At 48.9% G+C, this 18482-nt stretch overlaps 1 protein-coding gene across 5 annotated transcripts in view, besides 2 other annotated features; it reads right to left on the minus strand.

The window, feature by feature from the left end:
- SLC13A3 (solute carrier family 13 member 3) overlaps nucleotides 1–18482 on the minus strand; it is a 126658-nt gene that overhangs the window by 72801 nt on the left and 35375 nt on the right. The gene's annotated exons all lie outside the window — the stretch shown is intronic.
- Nucleotides 469–1217: an enhancer, noted in NCBI's record as "H3K4me1 hESC enhancer chr20:45259736-45260484 (GRCh37/hg19 assembly coordinates)". NCBI's record gives its function as "activates a minimal SCP1, AML or CMV promoter by ChIP-STARR-seq in naive H9 embryonic stem cells {active_cell/tissue: H9 hESC(naive)}" and the evidence as "EXISTENCE:reporter gene assay evidence [ECO:0000049][PMID:30033119]".
- Nucleotides 1218–1964: an enhancer, noted in NCBI's record as "H3K4me1 hESC enhancer chr20:45260485-45261231 (GRCh37/hg19 assembly coordinates)". NCBI's record gives its function as "activates a minimal SCP1, AML or CMV promoter by ChIP-STARR-seq in primed H9 embryonic stem cells {active_cell/tissue: H9 hESC(primed)}" and the evidence as "EXISTENCE:reporter gene assay evidence [ECO:0000049][PMID:30033119]".

An 18482-nucleotide genomic window follows, 5' to 3' on the forward strand; every position in this document is an offset into this window, starting at 1 on the left:
AGTGCTTCAGAAAGGTGAATGGAATAAAAGTCTTTGTTCTACTAACTTAAACCATAAGTGCCTCCCACCTAGTAATTCTGTGATCAGAAAGTGCTGTTTTCTTTTGCATATCTGTATTTTCTAATCTTTCTACAACAAATATGCACAGTTGAAACAATATGGGATTTGGAATTAAAGGAGCCTGAATTAAAGACCCGATTCTTCCACATTCTAGCTGTTGAACCTGGGCTTGTTAACTCTGTTTACCTTCAGTTTCCTTGTGTGCTGTAGACATATGATCATACCATCTCCCTTGGAGAGATGGTTATTAATATAAGGTAACCACTGACCCAGTGATTGATACATACAGTAGCTCAATACATATGATATATTGTTATGTTGTATTAAATAACATTGTTATTAATAGTACAATTAGATCAATTTCATAAAGCTGGGCTTCAAAAATACTGTACTTAAAATATGAGAGTCAGAATGAAGCTGAGATCATTTAATCCAGTGGTTCTCGACAGGGGGTGATTCTGTCCCCCAGGGGACACGTTTTAGTCTCACGACTGGTGGAGGGTGCTCCTGGCATCTAGTGAGTACAGGACAGAGATGCTGCTAAACATCCTGCAGTGTCCAGAACAGCCCCCTACAATAAAGAATTATTTGTTCCAATAGGGTCAATGTCCACAGTGCTGAACAAAGTGGAGAAACCCTGGTCTAATCTAACTTTTAGTACATACAATGGAGGAAGTGGTTGTCCCAAGAAGGAAAGTGGCTTCCCTGAGGTCACACAGTGAGTCAGAGGTAGATTGTGCAAGTTAAGGCCATGCTTTCTCTTAGTTCATTGAAAGACCATTGTGCCCTGGGCTTTATCATGCAGCAGGAGTTGGGAGCAGGGCTGCCATGTGGGCGAGGCTCACGCGTGACCCTGAGTGAGCTCCTCCTTCAATCTTGCTCTCCAAATGCCTCATGTGGCCACCCTAGTCCTAGCCTTGGTCCCCAACTCAGCCCCGCTCACACCCACCCAACCCATACATAATCTCCAAGGTCTGGCTTTCTTATAGGAAGCCTTATAATCCCCCCACCAAAGAAATCCCAGCTTCTCAGGCTTAGCCAATACACGACCACAGGGATTAAAGCCTGCAAGCAAAACGCGCAGGGGTGAGAGACGGGTGGAGAGAGAGAGAAAAAAATGCCATGTCAGGTGGTTAATTTTTGAGCTGGGGAATGATTTCCAGGCATACACAAGGCAACTTTTTTCCTACTGCCCCCCAACTTGCCCTCTTTGTGTAGGAAAGGAAAGAAAGAGAAGTGGTCTGTTCTCCAGGACCCTGGGGCAGGAATTTTCAGGACACTGCCTCCACCACCACTGTCCCCTTCCCCCTGCCCCAGCTCCCTGCTGGGCTGCAGCTGGCATTTTTGTCAGGGCACTGGGCAGTGACCAGGCTCTTGGCAGATACTGGTAGCTCTGTGCCAGGCAGAGAGCTGGCTGGCCCACACTTTGGGGACAGGACTGAGACCAGCTGCCCACAGCAGTGCCCTCCTGCTGCCTACGAGAGTCCCACTTCTCAGGAGTGTCCAGGGCTGGGGCTATGAAGTGCTGAACTTTGCACTCCAGCAAGGCAGAAGCAAGCCTTAAACCTCATGGTATCCCGTTGCCCAGGACTGAGCCTGCGAAGTGCCAGACCCTCTGGAGCTACATAGTGTTTGAAGCATCATGGCTCAGGCACTCAGGACTGGTGTCGCTTCCTCACTCCGAGCGTCAGTTCACTCATGGATAACATGGGAATGACGGCCTCACAGAATCACCATGGTGGGACATTGCCTGGAAGAAGGCCAGCCCCCAAGGGGGAAAAAAAAAAAAAGCTGCCAGGATCAGGGGAAAGAGCCATGGACAGGGAGCTGGGACCTGGGGGTTATAATCCGGACCTGATGCCAAGAAGCAGAGAAGCCTATGGGTTATGAGCTTGGCATCCAGTGCCAGATTGTCTGGGTTCCAATCCTGGAAGTCTATAGCTTCCAGAGCAGATGACTTAACTTTGTTCCTTGGTTTTCTGTAAAATGAGGGTGATGATAATAATGATGATAAGAATTTCAACCTCATAGAGTTATTGTTGGAAGGATTAAATAAGTTCACGTAGGTAAAAGGCTGGGTGCAACATATAGCCCAGAGTAATCTCTATCTCTCTCTCTCTCTTTCTTCCTCTCACTCTCTCTCTCCCTTCCTTCCTCTCTCCTTTTCTCTCTTTCAATAGATAGATAGATAGATAGATAGATAGATAGATAGATAGATAGATATATCTATCTATCTATCTATCTATCTATCTATCTATCTATCTATCTATCTATCTATCTGTTTATGTATCTATCATCTATCTATCTATCATCTATCTATCTGGAGATTTACATATTTAATGTTACCTACTACTGGCAGCTGTTATTTTGTTACATTCCTTGCCCTCTTTATGTTAGAAGGTTCATCCCAATGATCCATAAGCTACTTCACGTCCACCATTTGGGGATGAAGGTAACAATTCCAGTTCCCACATATATACGGACCCCAAAGGGAAAGAAATTTGGAGCACACAGAGCAGGCCCAGGGAAAGGACCCAACCTGGAAAGAAGAGACAGAACCCAAGAGAAACCCTTTCTGCCAAGGCCAAGAAGCACATTGGCATGAGACCTCCACTTGGAAAGAGGAGGTTAAATCAGGCAGGTGAAGGCTCAGGGGAACAAGGCCACTAGGAGTCACATAGCTTGGGTGCAAATCTCAGCTCCACCACTTATAAGCCACCAGCTTCAGGCTGACTCATTGGCTTTTTGGAGCCTCCCTGTCTCCATCCGTAATTTCGGATGCATATTAGGCCATCCTCAGAGAATGCCCAGGGGAGATCAAAAGGCAGGTGGACATGGCTATGCTTTGACAGTCCTGCAATATGGGCATTTCTCCCCCAGCCTCTGGGGCAACTCTCCCTCATGGCCTCAGTGCCATACCACTGCTATCTGAGATAGCTACACATGTTGAGCCCTTACTACACACCAGACACTGTTTGGCAATTCCCTTGTTAAACTCTACCCACTGCCCTGAGAGGCAGCAATAACTACTGTTTATGGGTGGCTTGGTTTATTGTAGCTCAGAGAACTCAAGTGACTTGCTCAAGGCCCTCTGCCTCAATGCAAACCATAGACAAGAAGAACAAAGCAACTATCGATTGAGGGCTTACTATGCTTAGGCACCAAGCCATGCTTTTTGGGGTGCATTAGCTCGCCTGTGTGTCCCAGTGACCCTGTTTAGAAATGATAAAGCACACAGAGGTTTGGCAACTTCTCTGCCCATGTGTGTACATCTAGCAAGGGATGGAGCCACGATCCTACCATGGTGGTCTAGCCCAGGGCCCTAGTCCTGATCTTATGGGCCCTATCCCCACGGCTCAGCGATGAAGATTATAGTGGAGGGAGCAGCCAGCATTTACTGAGCACTTACTATGTGTGAGTGCTGATTAAAGCCCTTTACAGTAATTGTGTCTTCAGCTCTTCCCAGGCTCTGGTAGGTTCTAGTAGAGGAAATGAAAGGACAGGCACTCAACAGAAGGTGCTTGATAGGCATTTTCATATCCTCTCTGGGGGGCTAATTCAGTCTTGAGGGTGAGCAGAACTGATTTTCGTGTGCCCACTTTCCAGAGGGAGAGACTGAGGCATGGAGGATTAATCCAGAGGTGATGCAGATGGAAGTAGTTGAGGCCACCGGGAAGTCTTGCTTCTGGTTGCCAACCGAGGCTCCCTCTTACCTTGTCCCATGCCCCAAAACACTCTGAGACAGCAGCTAGGGGCCATCTGTGTCCATCTGGGCACAAGACTCAATGGGGGAAACAGAAAGGGCAGCAAACCTGCCCCAGGAGATGCCTGAGCCCCGCCCCCAACCCCTCCCCTACAGTGGACTCTGTTAGACCCCTGGACTCATTAGTGGATGTTGTGACAAGTTCAAGTTCTTGGAGCCATTCATTAAAAACGTTCCTGCGGTGGCTCACACCCTGTGGCTGCCCAGGCCTCACTAATCATTCACGAGCCAGACAGGAGGGTGGTTGTGGGGGTGTGCCCTGGATGCAGGAGCTCCTGGTGGCCTCACTCAGCCTGAGGAGGGTAGAACACGTTGTTCTGAGAAAATAAGCTGATTCATGGTGTGACCTTGGGCAGCTCCGTCCTCTCTCTTTGCCTCAGTCTTCCCAACTGTCCAGCTGGTTCCTTCATCTCCCATCATGGAGCGGCATGGTGGGGTGCACCAAAAGCTCCCCTCAGGCCCCCTCTATGTCCCTTTTCCCCTGTCATCCTCTCCCGCACCTTTGCAGCTGGTGCTAATGGGAGGCCTTTCTCCAGGTGAAGTGAAACCCTGCCCGAAGGCACTGGGGTGGGACGAGCCTTTAAATCCCATCTGGGCTCTTCATTTTAGTTTTTCTGTGACCAGGGGACCAAGGATCAGTCTCCTGGAAAAGGCTGTTATGAGAACCAAGGAAGACCACTTGCTGTTTCTTGGACACTTGCCATGCTCCCACCCTTCTTTATGTTAGAACGTTATTCCCAATGATCTGTAAACCACTTTGGGTCTATCATTTGGAGATAAAGGTAATGATTCCAGGTACCACATATATATGGGACCCAAAGGGAAAGGAATTTGAAGCACACACGGCAGGCCCAGGGAAAGGACCCAGCCTGGTTAGATGAGAGAGAACCCAAGAGAAACCCTCTACCGAGGCCAAGAAGCACAGCCGCGTCCATGCAAAGTGACTTTTGCACTTGCTGTTCCCTATGCCTGGAATGCTCTTCCTTTATAGATGCTCAGGGCTTGCTCCTTCACCTTCTTCAGGTCTTTGCTCAAATGTCACCTCCTTTTGGTATGTGTTCAATGCTCCCTTTTCCAGGACACCTTCCGGACTCTACAATTGCACTACTCTCATCCCCAACTCCCTCCCTACCCTGCTTTTGTTCTCCATAGCAGTTATCATCATGGGACCTACTGTCAGAGGCGTTTGAACCAGAGTGACTCCATCTTGAACAGGAGCTGGGGAGAATGAGGCTGAGACCTGCTGGGCTGCATTCCCAGGAAGTTAGGCAGCCTAAGTCACAGAATGAGATAGGAGGTCAGCAGGACTGGTTTCACAAGATACAGGTCACAAAGATCCAATTCATGAAACAGGATGCAGCAAAGAAGCTGGCCAAAACCAAGATGGCAAGGAAAGCGACCTCTAGTTGTCCTCACTGCTCATTATATGCTAATTCTAATGCATTAGCATGCTAAAAGACACTCCCACCAGCACCATGACAGCTTATCAATGCCGTGGCAGCATCCAGAAGTTACCCTATATGGTCTAAAAAGGGGAGGAACCCTCAGTTTCAGGAACTTCCCACCCATTTCCCAGAAAACTCATGAATAATCCACCCCTTGTTTAGCAGATGATCGAGAAATAACCACAAGTATGCTCAGTTGAGCAGCCTATGCCACTGCTCTGCCTGTGGAGTAGCCATTCTTTTGTTTTTTCACTTCTCTCATAAATTCACTTTACTCTGTGGACTCACCCCGAATCCTTACTTGCACAAGATCCAAGGACCCTTTCTTGGGGTCTGCACTGGGACCCCTTTCTGCCAACAATACTATAGATCTTGCTTATTTATCCCTCGCTAGAATGTCAGCTGCATAGCTGAAAGGATTTGTGACTGTCCGGTTCACTGTGACTGTCTGCCATGTCCCCCTAGAATAGTAGCTGGTACCTAGAAGGTACTCAATTGAAATTTTTTGACTGATTGTATTAGTCACTTGTGGGTAGCACCTGGCACACAGGGAACACTGAGGAAATATCCCTTTTGATTCCATAATCATTCAGGACACGTGGATTAAGCACCTGTTGTGCATTGGTGGACAAGATGGACAAGGTCCCTATTAACCTCTCACTATTTGGAGGGCACTTTTTTGTTTTACAAAGCACCTGGTTCCCCTGGCTCCTCATCACAGCCCCATGAGGCTGGTGGGCCTGTAGGACAGATGAGAAAACCGAGGCTGGCAAGGGAAGTGCCTGGCTTTCACCTGCAGGGAAGTTCTTGGCCAATCTTGGCTCTGTCCTGGATCATCCGAGCCCACATTCTGTGCTCCCACTGCTTCTTGGGCCCTGGGCTCTGGCCCACCCTTGACATTTTTTTTTTCTTTTTTTCTTTTTTTTTTGAGACAGACTCTGTCACCCAGGCTGGAGTGCACTGGCGTGATCTCAGCTCACTGCAGCCTCCGCCTCCTGGGTTCCAGTGATTCTCCTGCCTTAGTCTCCTGAGTAGCTGGGATTATAGGCGCCCACCACCACGCCTGGCTAATTTTTGTATTTTTAGTAGAGATGGGATTTCACCATGTTGACCAGGTTGGTCTCGATCTCCTGACCTTGTGATCTGCCCACCTCAGCCTCCCAAAGTGCTAGGATTACAGGCGTGAGCCACCGCGCCCGGCCTGACATTTTCAATTCTCTTATGTTTACCATCATCCCAGCTCCACCTGGGTCCAGCTGGTCCTGCCCCAGGCATCCTGGGAGGGGGCGCAGTTGGGAAACCAGTGAGTGAAGGGGAAGCTGGTCCTGGGGGAAGCCGGCCCTGCTGGAAAGGCCCGGCCTGTTTCCAAGCCCCTTTTGACAATGCGCCTCCACTGCTCACAGTCCCTCGCTTCTCAGGCATCTGGGACTTCGGGATTTTGGCCAAGAATAAGAATGACAAGGGAACTCTCACTGAGATTTTTCTCTGAATAAGCATCATCTCAGTTAATCTTCCCAGCAGCCCCTAGGAGATGAGCTTTATTCCATTTTATACAGGAGGAAATGGAGGCTCAGAGAACCCAAGAACCCACACAGTGAGTAAAGGGAGGAGGTCAAGAGGATTCAAGAACAAACCTCATCCCCTATAATGCCCTTCCAGACCCCAGGGCCAAGAGGTCATTTGTAAGGCAAACAATACCACTACGACTACTACTGACAATAGCAAACATTGACCTAGCACCTGTTCTGGGCCAGATACACCCCTAAGTACTCTGGGCATGTGAACCCATCATCACAACATTCCTATGAGTTAGGCCCGATCAGTATTTTCATTTTACAGAGGAGGAGACTGAGGCACAGAGAGGCTAAGTAACTTGCCCAAGGTCACACAGCTAGGAAGTGGGAGAGCAAAGCTGGAGTCCAGGAAGGCTGGTGCTAGGGTTCATGCTCTCATGGTGCTGTCCCTCCTCCTCCATCCCCCAGGAGGTGATTCAGGGGGACATACCACCCCAGGTGAGGCAGGCTCCTTCTCTAGGAAGGGAAAGCCAGGGTCTGGAGAAGTACAGGTTCCATATCAAGAAAAAAGTCAGGAGCAGGAAGCGGTTGATGTCTGGTTTAGTGGGGGTGAGAATGTCCTCTCAGAACAGGCCTCAGTCTCCCCTATCAACCCCAAAGAAAGGTGAGAGCCAGGCCTTGGCAGGACTCCCCAGGCCTGGATGTCCCACGATTCTGGTCCCAGACACTGGCAGAGCAGGACTGGCTGCCCAGTGAGGAGCCCATACCTGCGGCTGGGCACTCTGTGGTGTAAAACGCCCAACTCAGGCACCATGAGAAGTTTTGCTGACTGGTTCCAGCCCTTTCCAGAGAATTCTGAGCGGGGCCACAGGCTGGGGCAGGGATTGGTTAATAAAAAGAGCTGGAAGAATGTTCCTTTGCTCTGCCCCTCACCCCTAGGCCCCCAGAGCCAGCACTTTCAGCTTGTCAAGAGAGAAAGGTGCAGGAGGCATGGTAAAACCCAGGAGAGAAGCGGGGCCGTGGGCGGCGGCGAACAAGGGCCTCTTTTGTTATTTCCCTAGCAAGGGAAAGGCGGCTGTCCTGACTGCTGCGGACAGAGGGGCCGTCAGCTCCGTCCAGTGAAGCCTGGAGCTGGCCTCTGAGAGGCCCTGAGGGCAGGAGTGCCTTTCTCGTGCCTGGAATGCCCTGCATTTCCAAATCCTCTCCTTCCTGCCAGGCCCTCTGCCTCCAGGCTGTGTGCTCACAGGCTAGCATGCCCCTCTTTAGGCCTCAGTTTCCTCATCAGCAAAATGGGACTCTGGACCATGCCTGCCTCCACGTGTCAGAGAGATCAAAGGAACTAATGCATTTGGGGCAGCGGTTCTCAGCCTTGGCACCGCGGACATTTGGGGCCTGAGGATTCTCTGTGGGGGGCTGTCCTGTGCATGGGAGGGTGTTTAGCAGCATCGCTGGCCTCTACCCATCAGATGCCAGTAGCACCCTACTCCCACTGTGAGAATCAAAATTGCCTCCAGACATTGCCACATGTCTCCTGGGAGCAAATTTGCTGGAAGACTCACTGATTTAAAGCATATCCTCTAAGGCCTGCGACACAGTAGGTGCTTTGTCCCTGAAGGTAGCCAATGTTTTTTTAGCTCTCTACAAACATCATCTATTATTATCATACCCATTTCACAGATGAAGAAACTGAAGCACGAAGAGGTTAAGTAACTGGCCCAAGGTCACACAGTTGGTTAAAAAGCCAGGACTGGGGCCAGGCATGGTGGCTCACGCCTGTAATCCTAGCACTTTGGGAGGTTAAGGGCAGGGGGGTGGGGGTGAGGGGCAGATCACCTGAGGTCAAGAGTTCGAGACCAGACTGGCCAACATGGTGAAACCCCGTTTCTACTAAAAATACAAAAATTAGCCTGGCGTGGTGGCAGGTGCCTGTAATCCCAGCTACTCGGGAGGCTGAGGCAGAATTGCTTAAACCTGGGAGGCGGAGGTTGCAGTGAGCTGAGATCGTGCCACTGCACTCCAGCCTGGGCAACAGAGTGAGACTCTGTCTCAGAAAAAAACCAAAAAAACAAAAAAACAAAAAACCAGAGTTGGAACCAAGCAGCCGAACCCAAGCTCCTCCCTCCACTGCCTGATCACTTGTGTTAGTTCTTGTCTCCATAAACTCCAATCTTCAGAAAGCCCTCTGAGATTTCCAAACTCCCACTCCAGTGTCTGGATGACATCACTGTCCTCTGGGAAGCCTGTCTTGATGTCCCACCTTCCCCATCCAGCACAATCGCTCCCTTCCCTGATGGCCTCCACTGAACCACAAAAGAGTTTGGGTTTCCAATGAGGCAGACCTAGGCTCAAGTGCCAACCCCACTATTTTGTCAATGGCTATGAGATGCTGGGCAAATGGCTTAATCTCTCTGAGCCTCAACTTCCTCATCTGTAAAATGGGTCCATCACCTCTGGGTCATACTGCATGGCTGAGAACACAGACCCTGGAGCCAGAATGGTGAGGTTTGAATCTTACCTCGGCCACTTCCCAGCTGTGGGAGCTTGGGCAAGTGAGGGAACCACTCGGTGCCTCAGTTTCTTCGTCTGCAAATGTCAGTAATAACACACCAGCCCACAGAGCCACAGTGAACATAAAAAAGCTCACAAGCATATCATGAGTGCTTAGAACCATGCCTGGCACTTAGTAGATGCTAGAGGTGCTGGCTGTGGCTCTTTTGAAGTCTCCTCGGGGGACAGAGGAGAGTGCAAGAATAAGGCATGTGATGTGGCCCAGGACATCAACAAAGCTGAGGTCACTTCCTACAGCCTCCCAGGTGTCGGCACTTTCTTGTAGGGGAGCTGAGTACAGTGGAAATCGAAGTCCTCTCTCTGCGCAGAGGGCTGGTAAGGTCCTGCAGGAGAGTAGAGCTAAAAGGGTGGGGAAGGGACTTCACCAGGTTGACCGGCAGGGCAGGGGCTTGCTGGCCTCCCCGGCTCTGCTCCAATGTCTTTTTCTAGCTGGGGCTCACTGTTGTGTTCTGCCTATGGGTGCTCCTACCAGCACCACAGGCACCTTCCCATGGCTGTCCCTCTTCGTGTGAATTTCAAGGACAAACAAAAAGAGCAGAGAGTCTGGACTCTCTGCAGATAATAGCAACAGCAGCAATCCTTTATTAAGCACCTACTGCGTGTCAGCACCTTTGAGCCTTCCCAGCAGGTATCATTATGCCCACTTTGCAGATGAATAAATTGAGGCTCAGGGGAGGGAAATCACTTGCCGGGAAGTGGTGTGACCTCATGTGGCTCTTCCCAAGTCCCCAGTGCATCTCAGCTGAAAAAAGCAGTTTGGACACACGTGTCTGACTTGTTCCAGGCCCGGGCCAGGTCTGCCCCTAGCTAGGGTGCTGACTTCGTGTCTTCAAGGTCTGGCGGTGTCAGAGAATTCTGCTCATCAGTCCAGAGAGCACTGTCCTGTTGAGTTGGGTCAGGAAACACGATCTTGCTCCCTGCTGCATCACTGGAAGTCACGCCAGCCTGTTTACACACCTGGCAGGAGCTCCGGGAAAGTGGAAAGTTGGCTGGACCTCAGAGGAATTGTTCTGGGGTCAGCGGGTCTATGTGCCCACTTGAGGGATGGGGCAATGGGTCAAACCGGGTAGGGAGAGCATGGAGGGGCACAGATGAGGGATCTGGGTCCACTAGGCTGGGAGAGGTTAGCAAAGTCTCTCCAGTCCCCTTCTGGGCCTCAGTCTTCCCAGCTCAAAATAGAAAGGGCTGGAAACCCTGATTCCTGCTCAAACGTTACGCAAACCAGGAAGCAGTCTGGGGTTTTAGACCCCGTACAGGTTCTGAAATCAGAACTTGTGTTCAAATCCAAATTCATGGAATGAATACTTTTTCACTGAGCACCTACTATGTGTCAGGCACTACTCTGGGTACAGGGCTGCCATAGAGCACACTATAAGCATAAACCTGCTCTTAGGTCACTCACAGCCAAGGGGGAGAGGCAGACACTAGACAAAGAAATGATCATTTCAGATCAGGATGAATGCCATGAAGGAATAAAACAGAAGGCTGTTTTAGAGAGTGATTTGTGGGATGAAGAGGGCAGGTGTGCTTGAGAAGCAGGAGGACTTCTAGGAGGAGGTACCATTGGAGCCAAGGCCTAAATGACCAGAAGCACCCAGCTGTGGAAGATCTGGGGCAAGAATGGTCCAGGGAAGCAAGTGCAAAGGGCCTGAGGCAGGAGCAAGCTTGGCAGCTTTGAAGAACCAAAAGAAGGCACATGAGGCTGGGGCACAGTGAGAAAAGACAAGGGCAGGGGAAGTTGTAAAATCAGGTTTTCTAATTTCTGTATTTGAGGCTCTGAGACCCTGGAGGGACTGCCCCTTCCCAGGGCTAGCAAATTCCTAGAAAGAATAAACTACTAGCCTGCAAGCATTCCTTCATATGTGAAACAACCAATCGAGACCCCATACTCCCTACCACCTCTTTTTGAGGGATCTCACATGAATCCACCTGCCCTAATCACCCCAGAGCCAGGTACAAGACAACTAGGGGAAGCCCCTATGCCCCCAGACCCACTGAAATGATTCAAACTAACTAGCCAGTCCTAAACCTGCACACCCTGCCTTGCCCGAACATATTGCCCACAGTAAAGGCTCATGCCCACGTTTCCTCTTATTCCCTCTGCCTCCCGACAGACCCTGCTGCTCCCCTGTGTGGCCCTGTGTGGCATGGTATGCCTCCTGCTTCTAGGGCCATCTGAGTATAAAAACTTCTTTGATAATGCTGATTTCTGTGTCTGTGTGTTTATCATACCCAAATAAAACAAATTCCATTACCATTAAAACAGACACAAGGGGACAGGTGGGCAGGAGCTGGATGACACAGGGCCCTGGGGCCACAGCTGTGAGCATGGGTGTCATTTTAAATTCTACTCACCAGCTGGGGACCTTGGGCTACAACACTGCACTGTGCTGACCCTCGGTGCCTCCTCATAGGCCTCCCTTGTCTGGATGTTCTAAGCATTGGCTGCAATGCATGTGAAGTACCCAGCATAACACCTGGCGCTTAGTAGGTGCTCAGTCTATGGTTGCTTTTGCCAGTTTCTGCCCTCCTGGGTCGCTGTGCACTGGAAGTCTGCATCTAGAGTTGGGAAGATGACTCCTTGCCCTCTCCCCCTGCTCAGGACTCTTCCTGCTCCTGGCCTCTTGCGCTTCCCATTCCCCAGGAGCACCCTTCCTTCCTCTCTTCATCTTACCACATCCAGTCCAAGCGCAAAGCCAACCAGAGACAAGAAGCCTTCCCAGCTTGTCAGCCTGACCCCAGAGCTTTACGGTGAGTCACAGCCTGTCCCTGTCCCTGGATTGCCAACCTGGCTCTCGAATTAGCCTCTGATTATTCCCGGAGTGTCCAGGGTCAGCAACTTTCTGCAGGAGGCAAAGGGCCAGGGGAGATAGGCGACAGCAGGAGTCTGGAAGTCAGCCTGAGAACCATCTGCCGCCATCTGCCGCCATCTGCCAGCCTAATGTGGGCAGGGGTCTCCTCCTGTCTGCACGTGGGCTCTTCATTGGGCAAATGGAGAGAATCGTAGTAGCTCCTTCTTGGGGTCATGGTGAGGATTAATGAGAAAATGCATGCCAAGAACTTAGCACACAACTGGCATTCTTTCTTTCACTTATTCGAGACATACTTATGAGCACCTACTATGTGCCAGGCACGGGGCTGGCACCAAAGATACAATGGTAAGCAGGACAAAAAAAAAAATATCCCTGCCCTTGTGAGCTTATACCCCATGGGTGGGAAGGGGGGAAGGGGGTTAATATAGATAATGCACCAGCAGATACATAATTAAAACATAATACGTTGCCAGGTAGTGATAAAGACCGTGAAGAAAAATAAGGCAGAATGGAGTGTAAAGGATTTTTCATTTTCTATTTTAGATAGGGTCTAAAGATAGGGGCAGGGACGGCCTTTTCGGAGGTAAGATCTGAACGGAGATCAATGAAGGGAAGGAGCAAGACTTGCGGACATCTGGGAGAACAGAGGTTCAGAACGAGGGGGCTGCAAGTGCAAAGGTCCTGGGATGAGAGCAAGCTTGGGATATTTAAGGAGCAGTAAGAAAGCCAGAGCGCTGGGAGCAGAGGGCATGAGAGGTGGAGTGGGGTTGGAAGATGGATCAGCAAGGAAACGGGGACCAGAACTCCTAATAAACATACAGTAAACATGAGCTGTCCTTAACCTTTGTTGAGAGCTAGCTACGATCTGAATAGAAATAAGTGAACTTGACCTCTGACCCCCCTCACCTGTCATCTAGAAGTTAGCTGTCAAGAGATTAAATGAAATGTCTTTAGCATAAAACATTGATGAGGCCAGATACAGTTGCTCGTGCCTGTAATCCCAGAATTTTAGGAGGCTGAGAGGGGCGGATAGCTTGAGCCCAGGAGTTTGAGACCAGTTGAGTGGCATGACTCCATCTCTACAAAAAATACAAAAATTAGCCAGGCGTGGTGACGTGTGCTTGTAGTCCCAGCCACTTGGGAGACTGATGTGAGAGGATCACTTGAGCCCAGGAGGCAGAAGTTGTAGTGAGCCGGGATCATGCCACTGCACACCAGCCTGGGCAACAGAGGAAGACCCTGTCTCAAAAATAATTAATTAATTAAAATAAAAACATTGATGACCAATGCCTAAGACAGGGTACTCCCTGGAGAGGGGGATGGAAGTGCTCATCTCCGCCCTGCCCCTCACTGAAGCCTTTGGAAAATTCACTTCCTTTTCTGGGCCTCAGTTTCCTTTTTGTGGGGGTTAAACTAGAATGAGCACCAGTTTACGATGGCAACTGTAATATTAATAGCTGACAGTTACTAAGTGCTAACTATAAGCCAGCACTCCAGTAAGTGCCTCAAACATATGAACCCATTTCCTCCCCACAGCAGTATGAGGTTGAACGATGATTAGACCCAATCTCCAGATGAGAAAACTGAGGCACGGGACTGACCATTTCAACATAGTCCTTTGCACCAAATGCTACCAGCATCTCCCATTTTTTTTTCCAAATCAATTTCAAAGATCCCAACCAGAAAAGCATGTGTAAAGGTTAAATTGCCAAAAAAATAAAATAAAATGTACATGTCCTCTGAGACACACATTTTGCATGTATGAACTTATTTATTCATTGTAAAATCCTGTGAAGAAAGGACTGTGGACATTTCCATTTTTCAGCTGGGGAACTGGGTTCAGAGAGGTGAAGACACTCTTCCTGCATCACACTGCTCATCAGGGCAGAGGCTAGAGATGAATTCATATCCAAATGAATCCAAAGCCTGGAACCTTTTTGACCAAGCCAGGCTCTCTCCTGAACACCAGGGTTTGCATCCCAGGAACATGGGGCCCACATGATGGGACCCATCTGGGAATTATGGACAATTGATGCATCAAAATTCAGAGGGAGACATGGGGCTAAACTTCCCAGCCGCTCCTGGGAGAACCAGTCTGGTGGGGTGGTTTTGCCATGTATTCATCTTTTCTTGCTGCTGTAACAAATGACCCCAAATGGAGTGGCTTAAGAAACACAAATGTATTCTTTTAGAGTTTTGGAGGCCAGAATTCTGAAATCATTTTCACTAGGCTAAAGTCAAGGTGTTGGCCAGGCTGGTTCCTCCTGGAAGCTCCAGGAGAGAGAATCCATGCCTTGCCTGTTCCAGCTTCTGGAGGCCACCTGCATTCCTCAGCTCACAGCCCCACATCACATTGCTTTTTCTCCCTCTGCTTCCATCATCCTATTACCTTCCGATTTCAACTTCTCCTGCCTGCCTCTCAGAAAGCCGCCTGTGGATTACATCAGGTCCACCTGGATACTGCACAATAATCTCCCTGTTTCAAGATCCTTTACCTAATCACACCTGGAAAGTCCCTTTTTTCCATAGAAAGTAACATTCACTGGTTCAGGGGATTAGGACACCGACACCTTTGGTGGGTCACTATTCAGCCAGCCACATGCCCGAGATTTCCTTTACTTAACAGCTCACCAAGCTTCATGGTGGCAAGAAGGCCATCCATGTACAGATGAGGAAATTGAGGAGCTGGGGCTATCAGTCAACCTCAGCATCCCCAGACAAGACACGCTTCCAGGCTATGGGTCCAGTATTTCTTGAAGCATAAAAAGCCAACTCCAGAAGACTTTGGGTGGAACAATGAGGTTACCTCCCTTCTAATCCTTCTTTCCTTCTCATTATTTCCAAAACAAAGTCTCAGTTTGGTACTAGTTTGTCTTTAATGCCTCACTTGATGATATCCCTCCCCTTGCAACAAAGAGAGGGCAGATCGCAGGCCCATAGCTTCAACCAGGCAGTATGTACCCAGTATTAATCAGCGTTAAATATTTACCTATCAATTGCTAGTTTTCTTCTCCTAATCATCAGTGATGATCCTGGTTTTCCATACATGATACCCACAGAAAATCTCCTTTTAAAGTCATTGCATTTAAGTTTTTTTAAAAGGAGAGGGCAGTAAGACATTAATGTAAAAAGAATAACAGGAATGTAATTAAGTAAATAATATTGAGTGGTAAGGGACTCTGGCAAAAATGATGTGAGTGGTATTTGGATGATGGAAACCAAACCAGATTCACTCCATTCTGGGGTGCATGGGGGAAAACTCCCTGTCTGAGCTCCCTGAGGCTCAAATGAGATGATAGAAGGTAAAATCAGCAGGCAGTGTCTGGCCAGAGAAGGTGCTCAATCCGCAGAGCTGGACTTGCAGTTTTTTTCTGGAAAACCTCTGTTGGGGAAAACTCAAGGGCCTCTCTCACTTCCTGGCCGCTCTCACTTCCAAAATCCAGGACTAAGAGAGAAGGAGGAGGAGTGACCGAAGTAGTGTTTAGTAGCTGTGTGACCTTGGAATTTAACCTCTCTGTGCCTCACTTTCCTCATCTCTAAAAATGGGGATAATTTTTGTTTGAACTTCCTACATCTGATGTGAAGAGTAAATGAGCTGAAATTTGAGATGCATGTAAAACAGCATTTTGTAAATGTGAGAAAATCTGTGGCTATTGCTCTAATTATAAACTCCCACTATATGCTGAGCACCACTCTGGACACCTCCTGTATCTTCCCCTAATTCTCGTAACAGAATGAGAGGGTGTGAGTCCTCCTCACTTCACAAATGAGACTCAGCCTCAGAAATTCAAGGTTTCCAGCCCAGGCTCCCCTCTTCAGAGCCAGACACAAATCCAGGTTTTCTCAACTCTAAAGCCCATGTTCTCTCCAACATTTAACTTCTCTGAGCCTCAGTTTCATCATCTGCAAAATAGGAGAACTAAAACATATTTTCAGCATTAAATAAAAAACTAAGAATTTATAGTACAGGCACAATGTATTAACTCACTGTGGCCAGAAAATAACTGGGAAAGAATATAATATTATGGCTGTGTTATAAATGAAGAAACCAAGGCCAGAAATAGAAAATGACTTGCCCAGCAAGTATGTGGAATGCGAATGCAGTTCTGATTCCAAAGCCTCAAAACTGGGAATGAAAGGACCATCTTCCTGGTCATCTACCTGCCCACAAATTAGGCAAATGCAAGAAAGGGGGCCTCTGACCTTACAGGTGTACTACCATCCCCCCCAAATATCTCTATCCCAGAGTAAGTCTGCTGTTGGCCACCGTGACACCTTTGTGCAAATTAGAATAAAAGGCCCTTCCTCAGGTGGATCCAGCTGTGCACCAGGGTGCACAGCTTGGCATGTGGAATGCAGGCTGGTTCAGCCTTACTTGCCTCCTCAAGCACCTTGTGCAGTGCACAGCTTGCACAACACTCTGTAGCAGCCTTGCCGAGAGCATCCCCAAACTCTTCCTTCTCAGAGCATCTTTAGAGTCACCTGTGAGTCCCCAGTGTTAAGAACTCCTCTTGGACAGGTGGTCAGTATCATTTAATTTGCTCTCAGGGGGCATAAGGCAGGAAAGGGGGTAAGGCTTCTCTGCAAACAAGTGGGGCTGGAGCTTATTTGTAAGCCTGTTTTATTAATAAGAGTCCCATCTGTGCCCACTAGCTAAGATCACTCCCCAAACCTCTAACTCGCAGGATGGCCATTCTTGGAAAACGTTGATGTAGTCCCTGGGGTAGCATCCCAACTTCCTGAGCCCCCAGCACTCTTCATAGCAAGAGCTAGGATCCCCAGTGGTGCTGGAAGCGGCAGCCATGCATTCCAGAGCTCATCCCACTCCTTTTCATCCCTGCTGACAGCATTTCTGAGCCAGAGGACATAATGTAAGAATTGTTCCTTCCAGCTCTGCTCTGCAGATTGACTCCAGCCTCCCCGAAGACAAGCTCACCAGTCACCAGGAACAGGTGCATGAAAACCAACCCTCTTAACACACAGACTCCTAGAACAGCAAAGCAGCAGTGGACAGATGTCATCAAGCTGGAAACCCAGGCCCCAAAGAGGGGTTGTCTCCTACTCCACACTGCCTGGTAAATGACAAATAACTGAACATCTCCAACTTCTTTCCTGATGTGATATCTGCAGTTTCGCAAGTTGTTAGTGATCCATGTATACAATACAACCTGCATTCATGGCGCCAGAATATCCATGTGGAAGAGGCTGAGAAGTGACAATCTGATGTTGGAGTGGACGCTGAGGACGCCTGTCTTGAATTGCCCAGCAAGCATGTTTTGAAGTTAGTCCACCAGCCTCTGTTTGGGGAGGCTCTCACAGGGAGTGACTGGTGAAGATGACCAGAATTGTCTTGAAGCTCCATGTGCATAACAAACCTACTGTGCTTGCTTTAACCCATGTCCCGTTTTGCACCGAGAATACTGCACTGGCAGTGAGCTGCACTTTTTTTTTTTCTAAATGGGAAATGGATTAAATGTGTGTCCCAGATCAATAAAGATGATGATGTTTTCTAAGGATACTTCTTATTCGCATTGTATATGAAATTGAGAAACACGTCTGTTCTTAATGTCAGAGAATCTAATAATGACAATCATATAAATATTGTTATATGGGAGAGGAGGCTTCAGGTATGCCAACAGAGATTTTGAGGGAGGCGAAGGTCCTCCAAAGAGCCAGGCCTGCCTCCTGGGAGGAGGCCCTGGTTCATCAACCACTTAAAGAGGCAGTGACATCTAGAGCCATATAAAGGGTCCCCACAAGGGAACTGTAGGGAACAAAGGGGTGGTTTGTATTGAATTATAACTAAGAAGAGCATGTAAGGCACAGCAGTTAGAAAGAAGTACAGACTCTTGCCTGTAATCCCAGCACTTTGCGTAGCCGAGGCTGGTGGATCGCTTGAGTCTAGGAGTTTGAGACCAGCCTGGGTGACATAGTGAAACCCCGTCTCTACTAAAAATATAAAAATTAGCCGGGTGTGGTGACAGGAGCTGATAGTCCCAGCTACTTGGGAGGCTGAGGCAGGAGGATGGCTTAAGCCTGGGAGGTGGAGGTTGCAGTGAGCCAAGATCGTGCCACTGCACTCCAGCCTGTGTTACAGAGCAAGACCCTATCTCTCTCTCTCTCTCACACACACACACACACACACACACATACACACACACACACACACACACACATAAAGGAGTACAGACTCTGCATTCTGGCTTTGCAGCAGCTGTGTAACCTTAGGCAAGTCACCTAACCCCGCTGAGTTTCCGTTTCTTCACCTGTCAAATAGGGATGCAAATAACAGCTGCCTCTCTGGTTGTTGTGGGCATTA

The sequence above is a fragment of the Homo sapiens genome, chromosome 20, assembly GCF_000001405.40.
Source record: "Homo sapiens chromosome 20, GRCh38.p14 Primary Assembly".
NCBI lineage: Eukaryota > Metazoa > Chordata > Mammalia > Primates > Hominidae > Homo > Homo sapiens.